The following is a 16,913-nucleotide window of genomic DNA, read 5'->3' on the forward strand; positions in this document are numbered from 1 at the left end:
TGGCATTGACATACTAGATTATGATTAATAGTATCATATGTTTGTCAAACGTGGCTGTTTAATATTTTTATGTAGTCGTTATATCCTCCCCCAATTCTGCCAAAAACATCCTATAAGATGTGTGAAGTGACACTGTGAGAAGCAAGGACCCCTGTCAGCCCTTATTACAAACAAGACAACTGACACCCGAAGGGCCAAAACTAGCCAAGAGCCACAGTGAATAAATTGCCAAGCAGGCACTTGAACTCGGCAATCCCAATTTCCTAGAAAAGTTCCTCTCCCATGGCAGTGGGGGACAGGTCCCAAGTCTTTGAGACGCTAATAATGTCTGCGTCTTAGGTTTCTGCCTTGTGCCAGGCACTGTTCTAAAATCTTTACATGTATTTAAACTCAGTACCATGGGGGTATTGGTACAACACATTAACTGAGACATTCATACGTCCAGGTACTTCGGAGTGGGTGTGTGTTTAATATCATACCTACTTGCCTGAGAAAGGAATTCAAAGCCCCACTTTTTTCTTTACCTCTTCATAAAAATTTGAGAGCCACAAGGAAGCGCTCTGTGTTTCCAGTACTCTTACAGTGCGTTCGGTGGCAGTAGTCACCGCCAACCAGAACACTAGGATCCTGCCAGGGTGTAGATACTGTAACCAACAAGAGGCCAACCTCCGTCCTTTCTGCGGAGGGCGCCGAAGCGTCAAGTACCCCGCAGCATCTCTCGGCTGGAGAGCCGACGGCAAGGGTGGGGTTGCCGGCGCTTTCCCCGAGGGCAGTCTCTGATCCTCCAGCTCCCCTCTAAGAGGCTCCCTGGTGCATTGGGCGAACGCGGTGCACGCAGGCCGGCTTTGGCGTTGTGGGGCCCCAAAGCGGCCAGGGGTCGCGAGGCGCCCTCCGGCGAGAGGAGCTGACCCCAGGGTTGCTCTTGGGGGCCGTGCCTGCCAAGTATCGCGGGACTTGCGCACATCGCAGAAGCGCCAGCTCCAGAAGCAGCTGGAGCGCGCTCGGTGCGCACCGCCCCAGCCCGGGGAGGAGCGGGAGCAGGGAGGGAGGAGGGCTGGGGGTGCTGGTTACGTAAATGATACTAGCCCAGTGAGAGGCCTCCAGGCTGGGGCTACGAGAGGAGGAGGGACCACGCGAGGAGGAGGGACCGGGAGGCGGCGGGCTGGGGTGGGAGGGGGGCGGGGGCCGGGGAGAAGTGACCAGGCGGCGGCGGCTCTGCTGAGGTGACAACGTGCTAGCAGCCCTCGCTCGCTCTGGGCGCCTCCTCGGCCTCAGCGTCCGCTCTGGCCGCGCTCGAGGAGCCCTTCAGCCCGCCGCTGCGCTATGAAGGCCCCTCTCTGGGGCTGGCCGAGGCTGGAGCCGGCTCCCTCTGCTCGCGGGCAAGTGTGAAGAGAGAGGCGCGGGCGGGAGCCGGGGCTGCGCGCGGCGCTCGCGGGCCGGCGCGGGTTCCAGGTGAGCGCGGACTCGGCGAGCCCCGCACTCGGCGCGGCCGGCCGGCGCCTGCTGGGCTTGATCTGAGGCTGAATCCCGTGTGTGGACCGCCGTTCCCTCTTCGCGGGATCGTTGGCCAGGATAGCAGGTCTCCGTCTCTTTCTCGCTTCCCCTCTTTTCCTCTTGATTGTCTGGGACGAGCTCCCTCTGGGCTGCCAGAGTGCCGGGGCTAGGTGCCGCAAAGTCCCGCGGCGAGTGCCGGGGCGCGGAGCCGAGCGCCCCGGGCCGGTCCCAGGGCAAAGGCAGGGGCGCGGGCGGACCTGGCGACGCGGCCTCCCGGGAGCTCCGAGTGCGCTCGCTTGCGGGGCTGCAGGTGTTGCGGGAGGACCGCGTGGCGCGGAACTTTCTGCCGCCGCCCACCTTCTGCTCTGCTTTTCTGGCTACCCCGGTGAGTTGTTGGTGGCGGGGGGGGGGGGGGGAGCGGCTCTGGCCCCCTCTGCGTTCTGGTGACGTTCCTCCGCGGGGGTGGCTCGGCCTCCAAGCCCAGACAACTTTCTCGCACCAGCTGCAGGCAGCCCCGGCTGCGTTGCGGGCGTTTCTACTCGACCCGACACCAGGCGCTCCCTGGGTCTTGGGTGTCTTCCTCGACGGTTGCCTTCGTATAGTGCCCCCTTTGCCTCGCTTTTTCAGAGTCCTCTTGCCTCTCATTCTCGCCGTGTGTGTCTCTGCCTCTGTTTCTCTTTCTGAGCCTTGGTCCCCTCAGTCCACACTCTCCGGCCATGTATCTGTTTTTTTCTCTTATTCTGTTTCCCTCTTTCTTTCTTGGGATATCTGTGTCCCTGTTAATCTGTCTTTCCTTTTGTCTCTCCGTTTTGCAACATTTGTTCTCTTTCTGTGTCTGCTTCTCGCAGCTTATCTCTGTCTCCCTCTGTCATCTCTCTGCCCCGTCTTCCCGAACACCAGCCCCGCGATCCCGAAGCGCCTTGGTTAGGGGAGCAAGCCCTGGCGCATCTAATGGGTATCTCCAGGTGCAGAGATTTTCCTGCGGGGTCAGTGGGGACGCGGAGGAGACAGCCTGCCCTTGTCCAGGCTGTCGTGGACCTGAAGGAGGGGCGCAAGGGGTTAGAGTGGAGGGCACCGCAGCAGGCTCCCCTTGCCGGGTCCGAGGGCGCTGCGCTGCTGCGAACCTGAGCGCACTGAGGCTGCTACTCTGGACAGCGAAAGCTGCGCAAGCCCCTCCCGCATACCCGATTCTTTGACTATGGTTAGTTGAATTTCCAGGAGGAGAGTCTGCCTCCCCAACCTTTATAGCCAGCTGCAGAAGAACGGACAGTGAGCAGGCAAACATAGATGCTTTGGGGTTCAGGGAAACTAACCTCGAAAGGGTGGGAGCTTTCTTCAGGCAAAGGTGTTGCTAGCAGAGGAGAGGAGCTTTGGGGACTGAGGTATGCCTGCCTTAAACTACCATGCATTCATTGCTTAGGAAAGCGGTTTCCTTGGAGAGATCGTGGTCAGCCTTCCCTGAAACAACATAACAACATAGAGGTTTTATTCGCAAGGCTAAAGGCACTTGGCTGCCAAAGCCCCCTTGAAATTTCTGGTATCCTTGAATATTTTCAGCTTTATGTGAAAGCTGCCTTTCCTCAGAGTCTCAGTCCGTCTCTCTCTCTTTCTCTCTCTCTCTTTTTCTGTGTCTCTCTCTCTCGCTGTCTCCCTGTCTCTCTCTCTCTGTCTCGTTTGCGTTCATGCCCTCTAGTGTTAAAGAAACCTGCTGGTTCGAGAATATTGAAAAGTAAGGTCAACCTATTGGTTATTTACTTTTGGACCTCTCACCTTCCGGGATAATTCTCCTTGTATTACACGCATCCTTTCCTTTTCCTCAAAGAATGACTTTTGCATTACATTACTAATCTTTCTTTCCCCCCGCACCCCCCTCCCGCAATCTCTGTTTTTTTTTTTTTTTTCTTTCCCCACGTCTCCTGCAGAATAAGAACCTTCATATTGAAACCCTGTTCGTTTGATTTGGGAATTGGATAGGTCTGGAGAATTTGCGTAGCCTAAGGCAGACTTTGAACATTAAAAAGATGCATTTCTCTGCACTGTTTGCCATAAACCAGGATTTCACATCTCTCCTTTAGCCCCTATCCACCTTCAATTCCATGGAGAATTTTCCTGGCTGCTTCTGCTTGTTTAAATAAATGCTTTTATTTCACCATTTCTGTGATGCTTATCCCATTCCAGGGCTTAAGGTACTTGCTTAAGTAGGGGCACTGTGTCTCGGATCCGCTTTGGAGAGGAAGAATAGAAAGCTTTTCTAAAGGAATTATAGGGTACTGCTGGTATAGATTAATTCCAGTTCGGAAAGTCCTGAGTGGGAATGTGAGAATGGAGGCTGTCTCAGATATGTAGTCCCTAGGACAGTGTGGGGAAACTAGTAAGTGCTTAATAAAACTTGTTGGTTGATTGATTAGCATGCAGCGGATCATAGGCTTCCAAGTTACCAGGTATGCTAAGGAGCCTGCAGCTAAATTCCACCTCCCCGCTCCTTTTTTGGGAGGTTTCATTTAGATTTTTTATGAATGGTAATTGAGAACTAGTAGAAGGGATATTGAAACAGGGGTCTTCTGCTTCTTTGTAGTTCATGTTATTGCTTGAATTTGCCCCTTTTTGCAAGTCTACAACTTGGCTGGTGTTCTTTAACACAGTCATTGCAGAATTGAAGAAATGAGTTTAGAGGGGCCCTGAAATGTGGCATCTCTCAATCTCCTTACCTGAAAGTAAGTTGGGACATGGCATCATTTTTGGGTGAATACTTTCATGTGGTTTCTAACAAGTGAAAAGTTCTCTCTTTTAATATAAAGAACAGATATATCAGCTTAAAATACTTGGGGGCTATATATTGATCTGTAAGCTGGATCACTTACCCTAAATAATTTATGGATTCCCCTACTGCTTCATATATATATATATATATGAGATGTGCGATACTGCATGAATGTGAGAATTTCCTAAAGTACCTGGAAACATAATGCCTCCTAATTCAAAGTAATAATAGAAATCCATGGGCAGCAATACTACTTTCTTGATGATATGCTAGTCACCTCTTAAAATAGTTGCTAATTTATCATGAGTATGGTGCAGGAGCATGTTCAAAGCAATTTTTCTTTAAAAATATTATTTATAAATCACTTGATACTGTACCCAATTTTTATATTTAAAAATAGCAAAGACATAATGAAGGTGGAAAATCTGATATTGTTTGAGAGACCTTCTATTTGTTTTACAGGTTTAACTTATGCATCTAACTTTTTAACTTACTGGGCAGTCATTTCAGTTTAAACAGTTATGTCAGAGTGAACTATGTTGTTATCATGCCAAGTTGATTTCTAGAAATAGTAGTTGTAACAGGAGCATTTTCATGTAATAGAGCTTGTACAGCTTATAAAGACTTCGGGATTTTAGGAAAGGGGTGAGATAAGAAGTAACAGTAACAAATGGGTATTTTTATTCTTTATGAATGGGCAGATGAAGAGAATCCTGGTGTTTCTGAATAATAACAGTCGAGAAAATGCTTGAGAATAAAGTAGGAATAGAATTAAGCCTTACTGTCTAAAATAAATTATAATGCTACATATCTCTGTTAGGTGTTCATTGTCCTTTTAAAAATGGACACTTCATATAGTTATGACCTTTAACTAATTTGCCTTATTAGACATGATATTTTAAAGAGAAACCTCTTGCAACAAACAACACATTCTTGACAGCGACTCTTAGTACATCACCTTCTTGTATTTGTGTCCCTGTCAGAAGGAACATGTAGACATCTTAAATCTAATGGGATCTAACAGGATCACTGCTTTGAAGTCTGAATGACCATATGCCTAATTATCAAAGGATTTAAACTGGGCTTTGGTTCTAAATCCTTCCCTCTGCTCTTGTCATCAAAATAAACACATGTGAAACATCAAATCAAGTCCTACATATATATACTCATATTTATTCTGACAACCTATTTAATGACATTTCTAACAGCAACCCCCCCACACTACACACACACACACACACACACACACACACACATACACACACAGTGGCTAAGCATATGTTTGAAAACGTAAATCACATTTAAAGATCTGGCACTGTCTGCTTTGATAAACCATTTATTATTTTATCAGATTAGACTTCTGTTTACAATTTCTATCAAGGCACATTGTTGAAGGACTTCTGCCATTCAAATATATGCATACCTGTGTTTGAAAAGTCTGGTTTTTCATTGTGAAATTTAGCTTTTCAAGGAAATTTATGAAAATGAATACATTTAATTCAGTAATAGTCATCCGTTTGGGGCATTATAAACAATTATATCTAGTTTTTGGGAGGAGCAGTGTAAACCAAACAGACTTTAATCACTTGATATTTGTTTCTTCTTGATTTCATATTTAGACCTGTGTCTGTGTTTTCAGTGTAGTGTATCTATTATAATACATTTAATTGGTGTTAGCTTGATTACCAAGAAATGATTACAGGTGGCTAAAGACATCTGTGTGATTCTGATTACTGTGTGCTCTCATGTCCTTAAATTCATTTATAGCTATGAGTTTTTCAAGCTGTTTTTAGTATGTCTTTAGACTTATACATTTAAATGAAATTCTTAATTTTTAAAAGTTATCACTGCAGAGATTGATGGGATCTAAAATTTAAATTGTTAAGTTAAAGTTGGGAGACATGCTTTTCCTTTAAGGGCTCAACTTCATTCAATGTCCACGTAATTAGAGTCCTCATGAACTGTCAGGCTCTCTCTTAATGTGTACACTACCATAATTACCTACCCTTCAGAAATGAACTCAAACACAATTCAAAATATCAGTTATTAAAAATTGTTCCAGGTTAATGGTTAATCCTCTCAAGATAGTTTGAGAGGGATGTAGGGAGAAGAATGACTATTATTACCATAGATATGAACATATTTGTTATCATCTTGTAGACTATGTGAGAAAATTAAATACAATGTCCATAATAAATACTTAGATTTCTTTCATATTTTTTAAAGATATGCTCATTGTTAAGATAGATGGGGGCTGTGCAAGATATATCATGTTAAGGTTTTAACATGAAGAGGAATTAATTGGGACTCTGTTTCATATATTCCACTACATTGAATTGTCACTTAAATCTTATTTAAGCTCTTATACAACATTTTAGGAAGAGTGTGATTAATCTGCTTGTTGACACATTGGTGAACGTAATGCATGTGGTGAGTAGCCACTGTAAACAGAAAGAAGAATTTAAAAGCATAGCACAATCAAAAATCATCCAAATAACATCTTGAAGATAGTAGTAAATGTCAACTTAGTCTCTTGTCTTATATTAATTGCCTTGATATTACAAGCAAAGCACCTCTTTTTTGTTAATAAAGTGGATTTTGACATATGAGGAGGATTATGTAGCTTAGAAGCATAATAACTGACTTAATTTCCTCTTGAGATTATTATTATATAATTAGTTTCAGATAGAGAAGGTGAGATTTATATGACTATCAAAACCCCAATGAAATACAACCATTAGTTTAAAGAAAGAAAAATGGAATAAAATATATGTAAAGGTGTATCCATTCCAGCTTATTTATGAAGAAGGTAAGATGGTGTATTGGGTTATAAATTGATAAAGTGGCTAAAATTCGTTGGTTGTTTACTTTGTATTTGTACTGTGGTAAGTAAACATCTGGCAGGTCTTAACATGTTTTATCTTTATAACAACAATATGAGTAATAGTATGTTACTGTTGCCATTGTATAAATGAGGCATCACCTCAGAATCACACAGCTAATATGTGTGAGCATCAAGGATGACACCAGTTTATTCTGCCTTGAAGCCAATAATCTAATAGTTCTCAGTCTGACATTTTCACTGACTGATAATTTAAAAAAATCAAGTGGTAAACTTTATGTGATTATTTTCTTTTGTATAGTAAGAATGATTGAAAAAGTCTACTTCTATCATCTCAATTTTATAAAAGTGGATATTTTAACACCAAATAACATGGAAGAACTGAATCTCAAAATAAATAATAGTTATTTAAAGAGAATAAATTAAGCTCCCTGTACATTTTTCCACATTGTACTCATTTTCCTAATTTCACCCAAGACTGATGAAAATTTCATCACAAAAAATTTCCCGTAGATTGTGCTTGGATGCCCATCTTACTCTGAACCACTGTGATATGCTGCCTACTCTATGCACCCACACAGCTCTGGCCGGCATGGTCATCATATTCATGACTTGATGACATAATGCTTATAGCTTATTCCATTCTCTTCCTAGTTTCAAATAAAATTTGGACCTAGGAAAGATGCTAGCACTTGCTTTAGCCTTAGTTTACTGTGTTAATGTTTGTTGAAATGATTGGAAGATTAGGGATGACTTGTTCCTTCTTGGTAGTTAACTGCCATTTACTGACACTAAGATGGTGCCACTCTGTGTCCTGGGATTGGAAATGAATATTGGGCAATGACAAAAAGAGCTTGTCAGAACTAATTTCTCCATCTTCCCTCCAAAAAACACATCCCAACTTGTACGGGTCAGTTTGCTCCATTTTTACTTCTTTGCCTTGGCGAAAGTGAAGCAGGTTTGGTTAGTGCTCTTGTAAAACTGGTGGTTGGTTTTACATCCCAGGTTGCTTTAGATAGTGTCTATTTGGGCCATCAAAGAGGAAAAGAATACTGGTGGAGTGTGTGAAATGTGGCTAAATTGACCTAAGACATTAGTTTCATTTCTACCAAAGCAGGTTGTAAATCCAAATTACCTTGAGTTTATTTATTCATTGTAGTTACAGGTGTTCAGGTCCCACTGATACAGAGTCTCATTTAACTGGGATGGATCCACAGAATCTACCTTTATGCACATTTTCCTATGTGATTCTGAGGTGCAGTGACATTTCAAGCAACTAATCTGCTTGTAGTATATCACTTAACAGATTTATTTAACAAAACACAGCAATTACTATGCCCCAGAGTTGTTCTAAGTGCTTTGCAGATATTGATTCATTTAATCATAAAGACCTTCAAAAGTAGATTTTATTAGTATTCTTATTTTAGAGACAAGGAAAGTGAGTCACAGAAAGGTTAAGTAAGTTGGCCAGTGTAAGAAGATCAGTGGAAGGGCAAGGATGATGTTAATTTTGATAAAATAATTAAAACTACCTACGTGTGTGTGTGTGTGTGTGTGTGTGCATGTGTGTGTGTGTTCTGAGACAGAGTCTGCCTCTGTTACCCATGCTGGAGTGCAGTGGTGCAATTATAGTTCACTGTAGCCTTAAACCCCTTGGCGCAGCCTCCCAAGTAACTAGGACTACAGGCATGTGCTGCCATGTCAGGCTAATTTTTAATTTTTTTTTTTTTTGGTAGAGACAGAGTCTCACTATGTTGCCCAGGCTGGTCTTAAACTCCTGGCCTCAAGTAGTCCTCCCGCCTCAGCCTCCCAATGTACTGGGATTACAGGCATGAGCCACTGATCCTGGCCGTGCTTTGAGCCACAAAACTTGAAGTAGCAGAATTGAAAACAGAACACAGATTTCTATGTCTTTTCCCTATTTGAGTAAGTTTTGCCTTTGAAAGTGAAGGAAGAAAAGCTGATATTTCTCGAGTTGGAAAATTTTTAAAAAGTTTATATTTTAGAAGTTGTTGCACCAGATAAATAAATATAATTATGAATGGGATAGTAAACATGGAAAAATCAGAGTGGTTTTCCTCAAGTAGTGTCATCATTGACTTGGCCTCTAATTAGACCAAAACAATATTAATAATCAGTAATACATAATGTTGCAGACAAGAATATTTTTAAAAGATTTGGAAAATAAACAGCTGTTTGTTTCAATCCATAACAAAATAACCATATATACTTCAAATACGTAACTAAGATTTACATCTTTATACTAAATAAGAAACAATTTATTTTCCTGTAATGCTCCTCATAAGATCTTTAAGTTACATTAGGAAATATTCATATTTATGGAAGGATTGGGGAAATTCTACCTAAATTTATGGATTTTTTCTCAATAATTTTTGTAAGCTTTGTATAAGATGGAATATTTGTAATTTATAATCACTTGTGAAAACTGATGTATTGATCTTTAACAAAGTACATTTTCTCCTTTCTGTTATTTAATATTTTTGTTTAATACACTAAAATAATCTTGTAAAATGGCTTTTCTTTGGTGTTTTTTAAAATGAATTTTATTTTAGACCGATGTTTGATTAAATTATGTAAATTATTTGAATTCTAAACCCCCAATAATGAGTCATTCCACTTGTGTGGTTTAAAAAAGAGTTAAAAATCGGCATTTAGAAACAATGTGATTTCCAATTCAGTAAATGATTTAAGGGTTTATGGGGTTACTGACTATTCTACTTTCAAGACTCACTACCATCTTTTCTCTTTTTCTTATAGCAAATTTCACCAGGATTCCTGAGACTTATATTTCTTCGATTCTCTTGATCATTCAGTCTCAAATAGGATTATATATCACTTGTCCTGAAAAATATTAGAAACAGTCTGTCACTGAATATGGTGCAGATTTTATTCATATGTTATAGATTTTAAGCATACCTTTTGATTTTTTTCTTAAGGTAAATACTGTATTTATTATTTTTTAGTATTCTTTTTCTTTGCTCCATATCTTGTTCTTTGTTCTTCTTTCCATTCTTCTTCATGGTGCTTTTTGCTTTAAATTGTCTCTCTTTTATGACTTAATAAATCTTCATGTAGCCAGACTGAACTATGTATTGGTTTCCTTGATTCTGGTAAAACAAAACAAAACAAAACAAAAAACAAAAAAGGAAATTAAAAAAGGCTGTTCATTTAATCATTTAGTTTCTGAATAGGTAAGAGACACTATAGCTCTTGCATCTAGGTCATTTAACAGGTGGAAGGGGATGCTAAATTTGCATCTCATTACCTTTGTCTACTTTTAGAGTTGTGTGCTTGGGCCCTGTGGTCAGTTGGCAGGTGGCAGGCCATGGCTCCAAAGGAATGCCGTGTTATTTGAGGGGATGCCAATTTCACTTGCCACACGGTTCTCACATTACTTGGTCAGACTTTTTAAAAATAAAACAACCAATATATGGTTCATTATTTATGCTAGATTACTGACTTCACATCAAAAATCATTGTGATATTGATAGGCTGTGATAAATAATTTTAACAATTTATATTCTGTGGTACCCACTGTCAGACTTATGGATAGTATTTCCTCTATTTTGGTAACCTAGAGCAGACATTTTGTCAAAAATTTTTAAAAGACTTTTATTGTTGTGCACTAAAGTTGAGATGAATTGTAGGTAATTGGATGGTACAGCTGAATTAACACATTGAATTGCTAGTTATGAGACACTTCATTTGCTGTTGCAGACAACAATAGGCCCATTTTTGCTTCTACAATGCACAAATTCTTATTATCTATATAAAATGCTAATTCAAGTGGGATAACATGTATACATCATTTCCATTCCTTTTGTAAGGAAAACTAACTTCCACAAATGTAAAATATTTGCAAATATCTCAAATAATTTTGAACTTCAATTAATCTTTTTTTGCAAATGTTAATCAGTTTTCTCATTTTCCACAAACAGAACAGGATATAAGGCATTTCAAACATGAAATCAGTAGTATCAATTTTACCCTGTGTCCCTTAAGGTCTGTGCAGATGGGCAATTCACATTTATCTCAACAGAGATCCTTATTTGAATCATTCTGAAGAACATTATTACTATCATGATTATGGTGACATGCAATAGTGTAATAATTTTGTTGGCTCTTGGGTTTTTTTCATTTAGACTTTTTAAAGTATAGCTTCTTCGTTTTCAATAGATGAGTATCCATTTTAAGAGGAAGGAATAAGAACTATTTTTATCTAAACTATCTCCTGAAAACTCATTAAGTCAAGCATTAAATGGAGGGATTAAAAGTTATAAAACTATTACAAATTGTAGAGAGTAAAGGAAGGCAAAGGAAACTGCCTAGAATGTAGGGGGGGGTCGAGGCAGGGGGAGGTGGGTTGGTGGCTTGAAGTTGAGGAGATTCACTCTGCCCATATTAAGCCCCCAAAGGCCTGAGGCTCAATAATGCTGAAAAAAGTAAAGAACAGAAATGAGAGTCTGGGGCTAAAACAAAATAATTTATCAAACATGTATAGATGAAATAGCCTTGTATTCACAACTCTATTTTCTATGTAAACATCTCTATAGTAAGTTTTTCTCACTCACTCACCTAACTATCCACTCTTAACATGTACTAACTAGCAAGGGACAGCAAGGGCAACTAAGGATGGGTCTTAGAAAAACAATGCCTCTTTTATTTTGGCACTTACAGTCTTTAAGCCTAATGATCAGCTTTTTGCTTGCCCTAAAGCAAAGTCTTTTAGTCAACAAGACCCACTCAAGTTCACAGAGATTTGCACTTTTTATTCCTTTATATTCTTTACTTTTTTTTTTTTTTCTTGAGCCAGGGTCTCTTGCCCAGGCTGGAATACAGTGGCATGATCATAGCTCACTACATGTAACCTCAAACTCCTGGGCTAAAGCAATCCTCCTGCCTTAGCCTCCCAAGGAAGCAGGGCTACAGAAATGTCTCACCACACCCAGCTAACTTTTATAATTTTGTAGAAATGGGGGATCTTGCTATGCTACCCAGGCTGGTATTCCTTCATTCTTAACTACATAAAACAGCAATCAAGGATCACAGACATTTAAGATATAATGTAGGAACAAAAATTTTAGAACGTCTGCAACATGAAAAATAAAGAGACCAAGTTAAAGAAACCAGTAACAACAAAATGACTTTGCAAGAAACACACAGAGGACCATAAAAGAGACAAATATATGTTATTTTTATATATATATCTATATATACACACATATATATGTATATTATATATATATATATATATAATTCTTGAAAAGATCCAGGAAAATATTGCATTCATAAAACAAGTGGATGATATAGAAAAGGAACACTAAATGAGTAAGAAAAACTCTTGGAAATTGAATATTTTCAAATATTTTAAGGGAAAATTTGTGATTTTAAATGGAGAAAAATCTATCAATTCTAATAAAAATGAAACAAGATGGAAAATATGAGTCACAGTGAATCTCCACGAAGCATGACTTCCTAATTGGACGTCTAGTAAGAAAACAAAAAATACAGTTAGAGCAACATTAATGAATTGAGGATAATTATCAAATTTCTGAGGAAAGGTGATTTACAACTCAGCATACCATACCCAGTCAAAATATCCCGTGTCAGGGTAGAATTAAGACATTTTAAGACATATGAAGACAAACGTTATCTTCTTTAAATATAACCTTTCTTGAAAAGTTACTCCAGGTTGAACCTCAGCAAACTATGGTTAAGAAAAACAGAAAGACATGGCATGATGGCTATGTGAAGTAGTCCAGGAAGGTGAACAAATTGTGTTGTTTCAACCTGGTATAGGATTAGTATAAAGAAATGGAGGGTTTGGTTGGTGGGAGGATTTGGGACAAAAAGGGGACATTATAGAATATTTAATGTTTAAGGAGTATTTAAAAAGACAAAAAATGTACAAAGAAAAAAAGTAGAAATGTCAGGTAAAACAAAAGAATATGCAAAAAGGGAAAATAACCATAGGACTTTAGTTGGCTCCAAAATGAATAATATTTTTATATTAAATATACATGGTATTTACTGATTTTCATCTTTTGATTGATTTTCAGTCAATCTTACTTAAAATGTGGAAGATAATTGTGGTGATAGAACAAAATGCAAATATTATCAAGACTGACAATGTCACGATAAACATACAGGTGGCTGAGGTTGGGAATTAGGTATGGGGACTGGAGAGAGTTGAAGGAAAGGTTAGGGATTGGAATAGTAGCATATCACAAAATAGGAGTCAAGAGATAGTGTCTATAGTTAATATAAGAAATAGCACTGATATAGTCCTTAAAATTACAAAGATAACCAACAAGAGGAATAATGACTACATTAGGAGGAAAGATACAGAGAAGTTCTGAATATGATGTGAAGTGACTTAGATAATGGCTAAACTACTTTGAGTTTGCTTGGTCAAACTTGCTTTAATTTTTTTGAAAAAAAAAATGTGATTATGCTTCGATGAGTGTGTACTTCCCAGATTTCCACAGATTCCAACCACTCTCTGTGGAGGCATCATAATCCATAAAGATATTGGGATTTAAAGATTCCATTGTAGAGCTAATAAACAATTAAAAGTGAGTTCCTCTGGGGAGAGGAACTGGTTGGGGTTGAGGGGGTTTACTATATAAAGAAATATAAATTCTTGGCACTTTTGTCACTGAACGTGATAGCAATAATTCCCTATAGTACTACATTATGGGGCTAAGAGGGGAACATTGGATTTAGTCCTGATAAAGCCATTAATAAACTCTATAACATGTCATTTAAGTTCTCTGAATGTCAGTTTCCTCATCTTTAAAGCAACAGGTGCTGGGTTTGTAATCCCAGCACTTTTGGAGGCTGAGGTGGGCGGATCATCTGAGGTCAGGAGTTCAAGACCAGCCTGGCCAACATGGTGAAACCCAGTCTGTACTAAAAATACGAATATATATATATATATATATGTGTGTGTATATATATATATGTGTGTGTGTGTGTATATATATGTGTGTGTGTGTGTGTATATATGTATATACACACACACACACACACACACACACACATTTTTTAGCCGAGCGTCGTGGCACGCACTTCTAGTCCCAGCTACTCAGGAGGCTGAAGGAAGAGAATCATTTTAACCCAGGAGGTAAAGGTTGCAGTGAGCCGAGATTGCACCATTGCACTCCAGCCTGGCAACAAGAGCAAAACTTTGTCTCAAAAGATAAAATAAAGTAAAATAAATAAAATAAAATAAAATAAAAATAAATCAACTGATATTAAAAAGTCCCCAGTACCACTTTGTAGTCTAATGTTTATTTTGTGAAGATAGGTCTATCATTTTATTGAGAATAAAGTGAACTAGAATTTTTCTAGGTATAAAGCCTAAGACTGATACAGAGCTCTTACTTGCTCTGGGTCTTTATTAGACTAAAGGTGTTCATTGCCTTCTTAACAATGATCTTCAGTCTCTGTCCTGTATCCTTTAAGTTTGATTCTTTACTTTGTGTCTAACTGACTTTACCAATCAAATCAGAATCATACATCTTTAGTTTTATGAATGTGTGTAACCAGATCCTAAATAGAATTGTTTTAATAGAACTTTTTTCATTCTTCAAGGCCTTATTTTCCCACAGCTTAATGGTTTTTTTTGCTGATGTAAAAATGCACATTACAAGATGATTGTTTAAAAGATCGTATCTCCATTTCACCTGTTTTCCTAAACACTTTCAAAGCACTGAGGAATAATTTGAAACAACATTTTATAGTGGATTCCAGATAGAGGCAGTACATTTTATAGTTCTCTCTGTTTTTAAACGGTACCAGTTACTGTGATTACCTGATGTGCTTGCAAATTTACAGAAGAATTGGTAAATGAAGGATGGCCATTTCAGTGTTCACAGATGTGAAGATATTGCCATCTTAGATCAGCAGCTGCTCTTGAAATGTTCACTCCTTAGTATCCTTGGGCTAACACTAATTTTGTAGCTGATCAAAATAATTGCTGTAAAGATACTAGCTATTCCTAATTAACGTGAGCATATGGGTAGTTCCCACAAAAAAATTTACTAACCTGCCGGTTGTTGCTGTGTATATGTTCATGCTTTAGCATTCTTAACTATGAACATGAATCAGCAAACTAAAAAATAATCATAGTTAGCTTTCTATGGATAGAAATGGAGAGAGAGACAGAGAGAGAGAAAGAGAGAGAAATGAGGAAGTTTCCAAGGTTCCCCCCATAGTGTAGGATACGTATACCACAAAAATATATTGTGGAAAACTGAGAAAAAATACTTTATTTAATTTATGTGGTAAAACCTAGTCTTTTATAGTATAAAAGGATAGGGGATTCTGAACTGAAAAAAAAAAAACAAATTAACAATGAGGCACTCTTTTTTTTTTAAATTATACTTTTAAGTTTTAGGATACATGTGCACAACGTGCAGGTTTGTTATGTATGTATGCATGTGCCATGTTGGTGTGCTGCACCCATTAACTTGTCATTTAACATTAGGTATATCTCCTAATGCTATCCCTCCCCACTCCCCCCACCCCGCAACAGGCCCCAGTGTGTGATGTTCCCCTTCCTGTGTCTAAGAAAATGTGGCACATATACATCATGGAATACTATGCAGCCATAAAAAGCGATGAGTTCATGTCCTTTGTAGGGACATGGATGAAGCTGGAAACCATCATTCTCAGCAAACTATAGCAAAGACAAAAAACCAAACACTGCATGTTCTCACTCATAGGTGGGAATTGAACAATGAGAACACATGGACAAAGGAAGAGGCACTTTTTAAAGCTGTGAATATCTGTTTTCTCTTGATAGTTTGTGATTACCGTCTCTCTTGGTCCCCTCATTTTACCATTTTCTGGGTGATCTTGATTTGAGGACAGTAACTTGTGGGCAGTTAGAGCTCTTTTGTCCTGTTATTTTATGTGGTTGGTGAATCTAAGGTCCATTAAGTTACATATTAAAGTTGAAGTTCTTGGCAATTAATTAGGACCTTTTAGCATATTAACTTCCTCTTCATTCTAAGATAAGATAAATGTAGAGATTCAAGTTAGGAGACAGTAAAACACAATTAAGTGTTAAAGACACAAGTTTAATTTTGTGGTGCCTGGAATCACATAAATGTAGTTTAAAAATTCTTATATCTAATTACTAGAAGTATGACAGAAGACAGTTACATAGCCTGCATGGAACTTAGTTACCTCATCTTTAAAATGGAGATAATAGTCATAGTAGATAACATGAATACAACCCAGGTCTCTTACTGGGCAAGAAGGTCTCTTTTAAGTGCTTTACATAACATTAACTCATTTAATTCTTACAGCACTATGAGCTAGATATTCTCATCCACCTTATAATTGTAATGACATGAGAGTTGAGGTGACAATGCATGAAATGTACTGATTGTTGTGCTTGGCACTTAGCAGGTGCTCAATAAATGTGAGCTGTTATTTGTGTATCTCCTCTCCGATGGTCCTCTCTTGGTATCTAGTGTGACAGGTGCCTAGTAAATTTGGCCTGCTTAACCGATTTTCGAAATAAAATCTAAGACCTGGAAGAGTTATTGTAAGGAGTTACTGCAAAATTGGGCCCCAAGTGCCAATAAATAAATAGGAGTTAAAGATGGGACTGAAGCCAAGTGAAGTAGAAACAGTAAAACTGTGTTAGTGAAATATTGAGAAATCTTACTTGAGAGAAGGGAAGATAAATGTGTGAAGGCAAAGGTGCATTCATTTCATGATAAATATTATGATATTATACACATTATACACAATGCTAAACAATGACCTACCACTTTGCAA

At 39.0% G+C, this 16,913-nt stretch overlaps 1 protein-coding gene across 18 annotated transcripts in view; it reads left to right on the forward strand.

Annotated features, from left to right (window-relative positions):
* GALNT13 (polypeptide N-acetylgalactosaminyltransferase 13) overlaps positions 1–16,913 on the forward strand; it is a 1,388,282-nt gene that overhangs the window by 802,432 nt on the left and 568,937 nt on the right. For 7 of the 18 annotated variants that reach the window (XR_007069045.1, NM_001376394.1, NM_001376404.1 and 4 more), the window contains exon 1: positions 1,198–1,579. The exons of 5 other annotated variants lie outside the window; for them this stretch is intronic. The gene's annotated coding sequence lies outside the window, so the exon portion shown is untranslated. Of the gene's footprint in view, positions 1–1,197; positions 2,877–16,913 lie in introns of those variants that run through there. 6 more of the 18 variants (NM_001376402.1, NM_001376401.1, NM_001376403.1 and 3 more) reach the window with 4 other exon arrangements.

Source organism: Homo sapiens, chromosome 2 (assembly GCF_000001405.40).
Source record: "Homo sapiens chromosome 2, GRCh38.p14 Primary Assembly".
Classification (NCBI taxonomy): domain Eukaryota; kingdom Metazoa; phylum Chordata; class Mammalia; order Primates; family Hominidae; genus Homo; species Homo sapiens.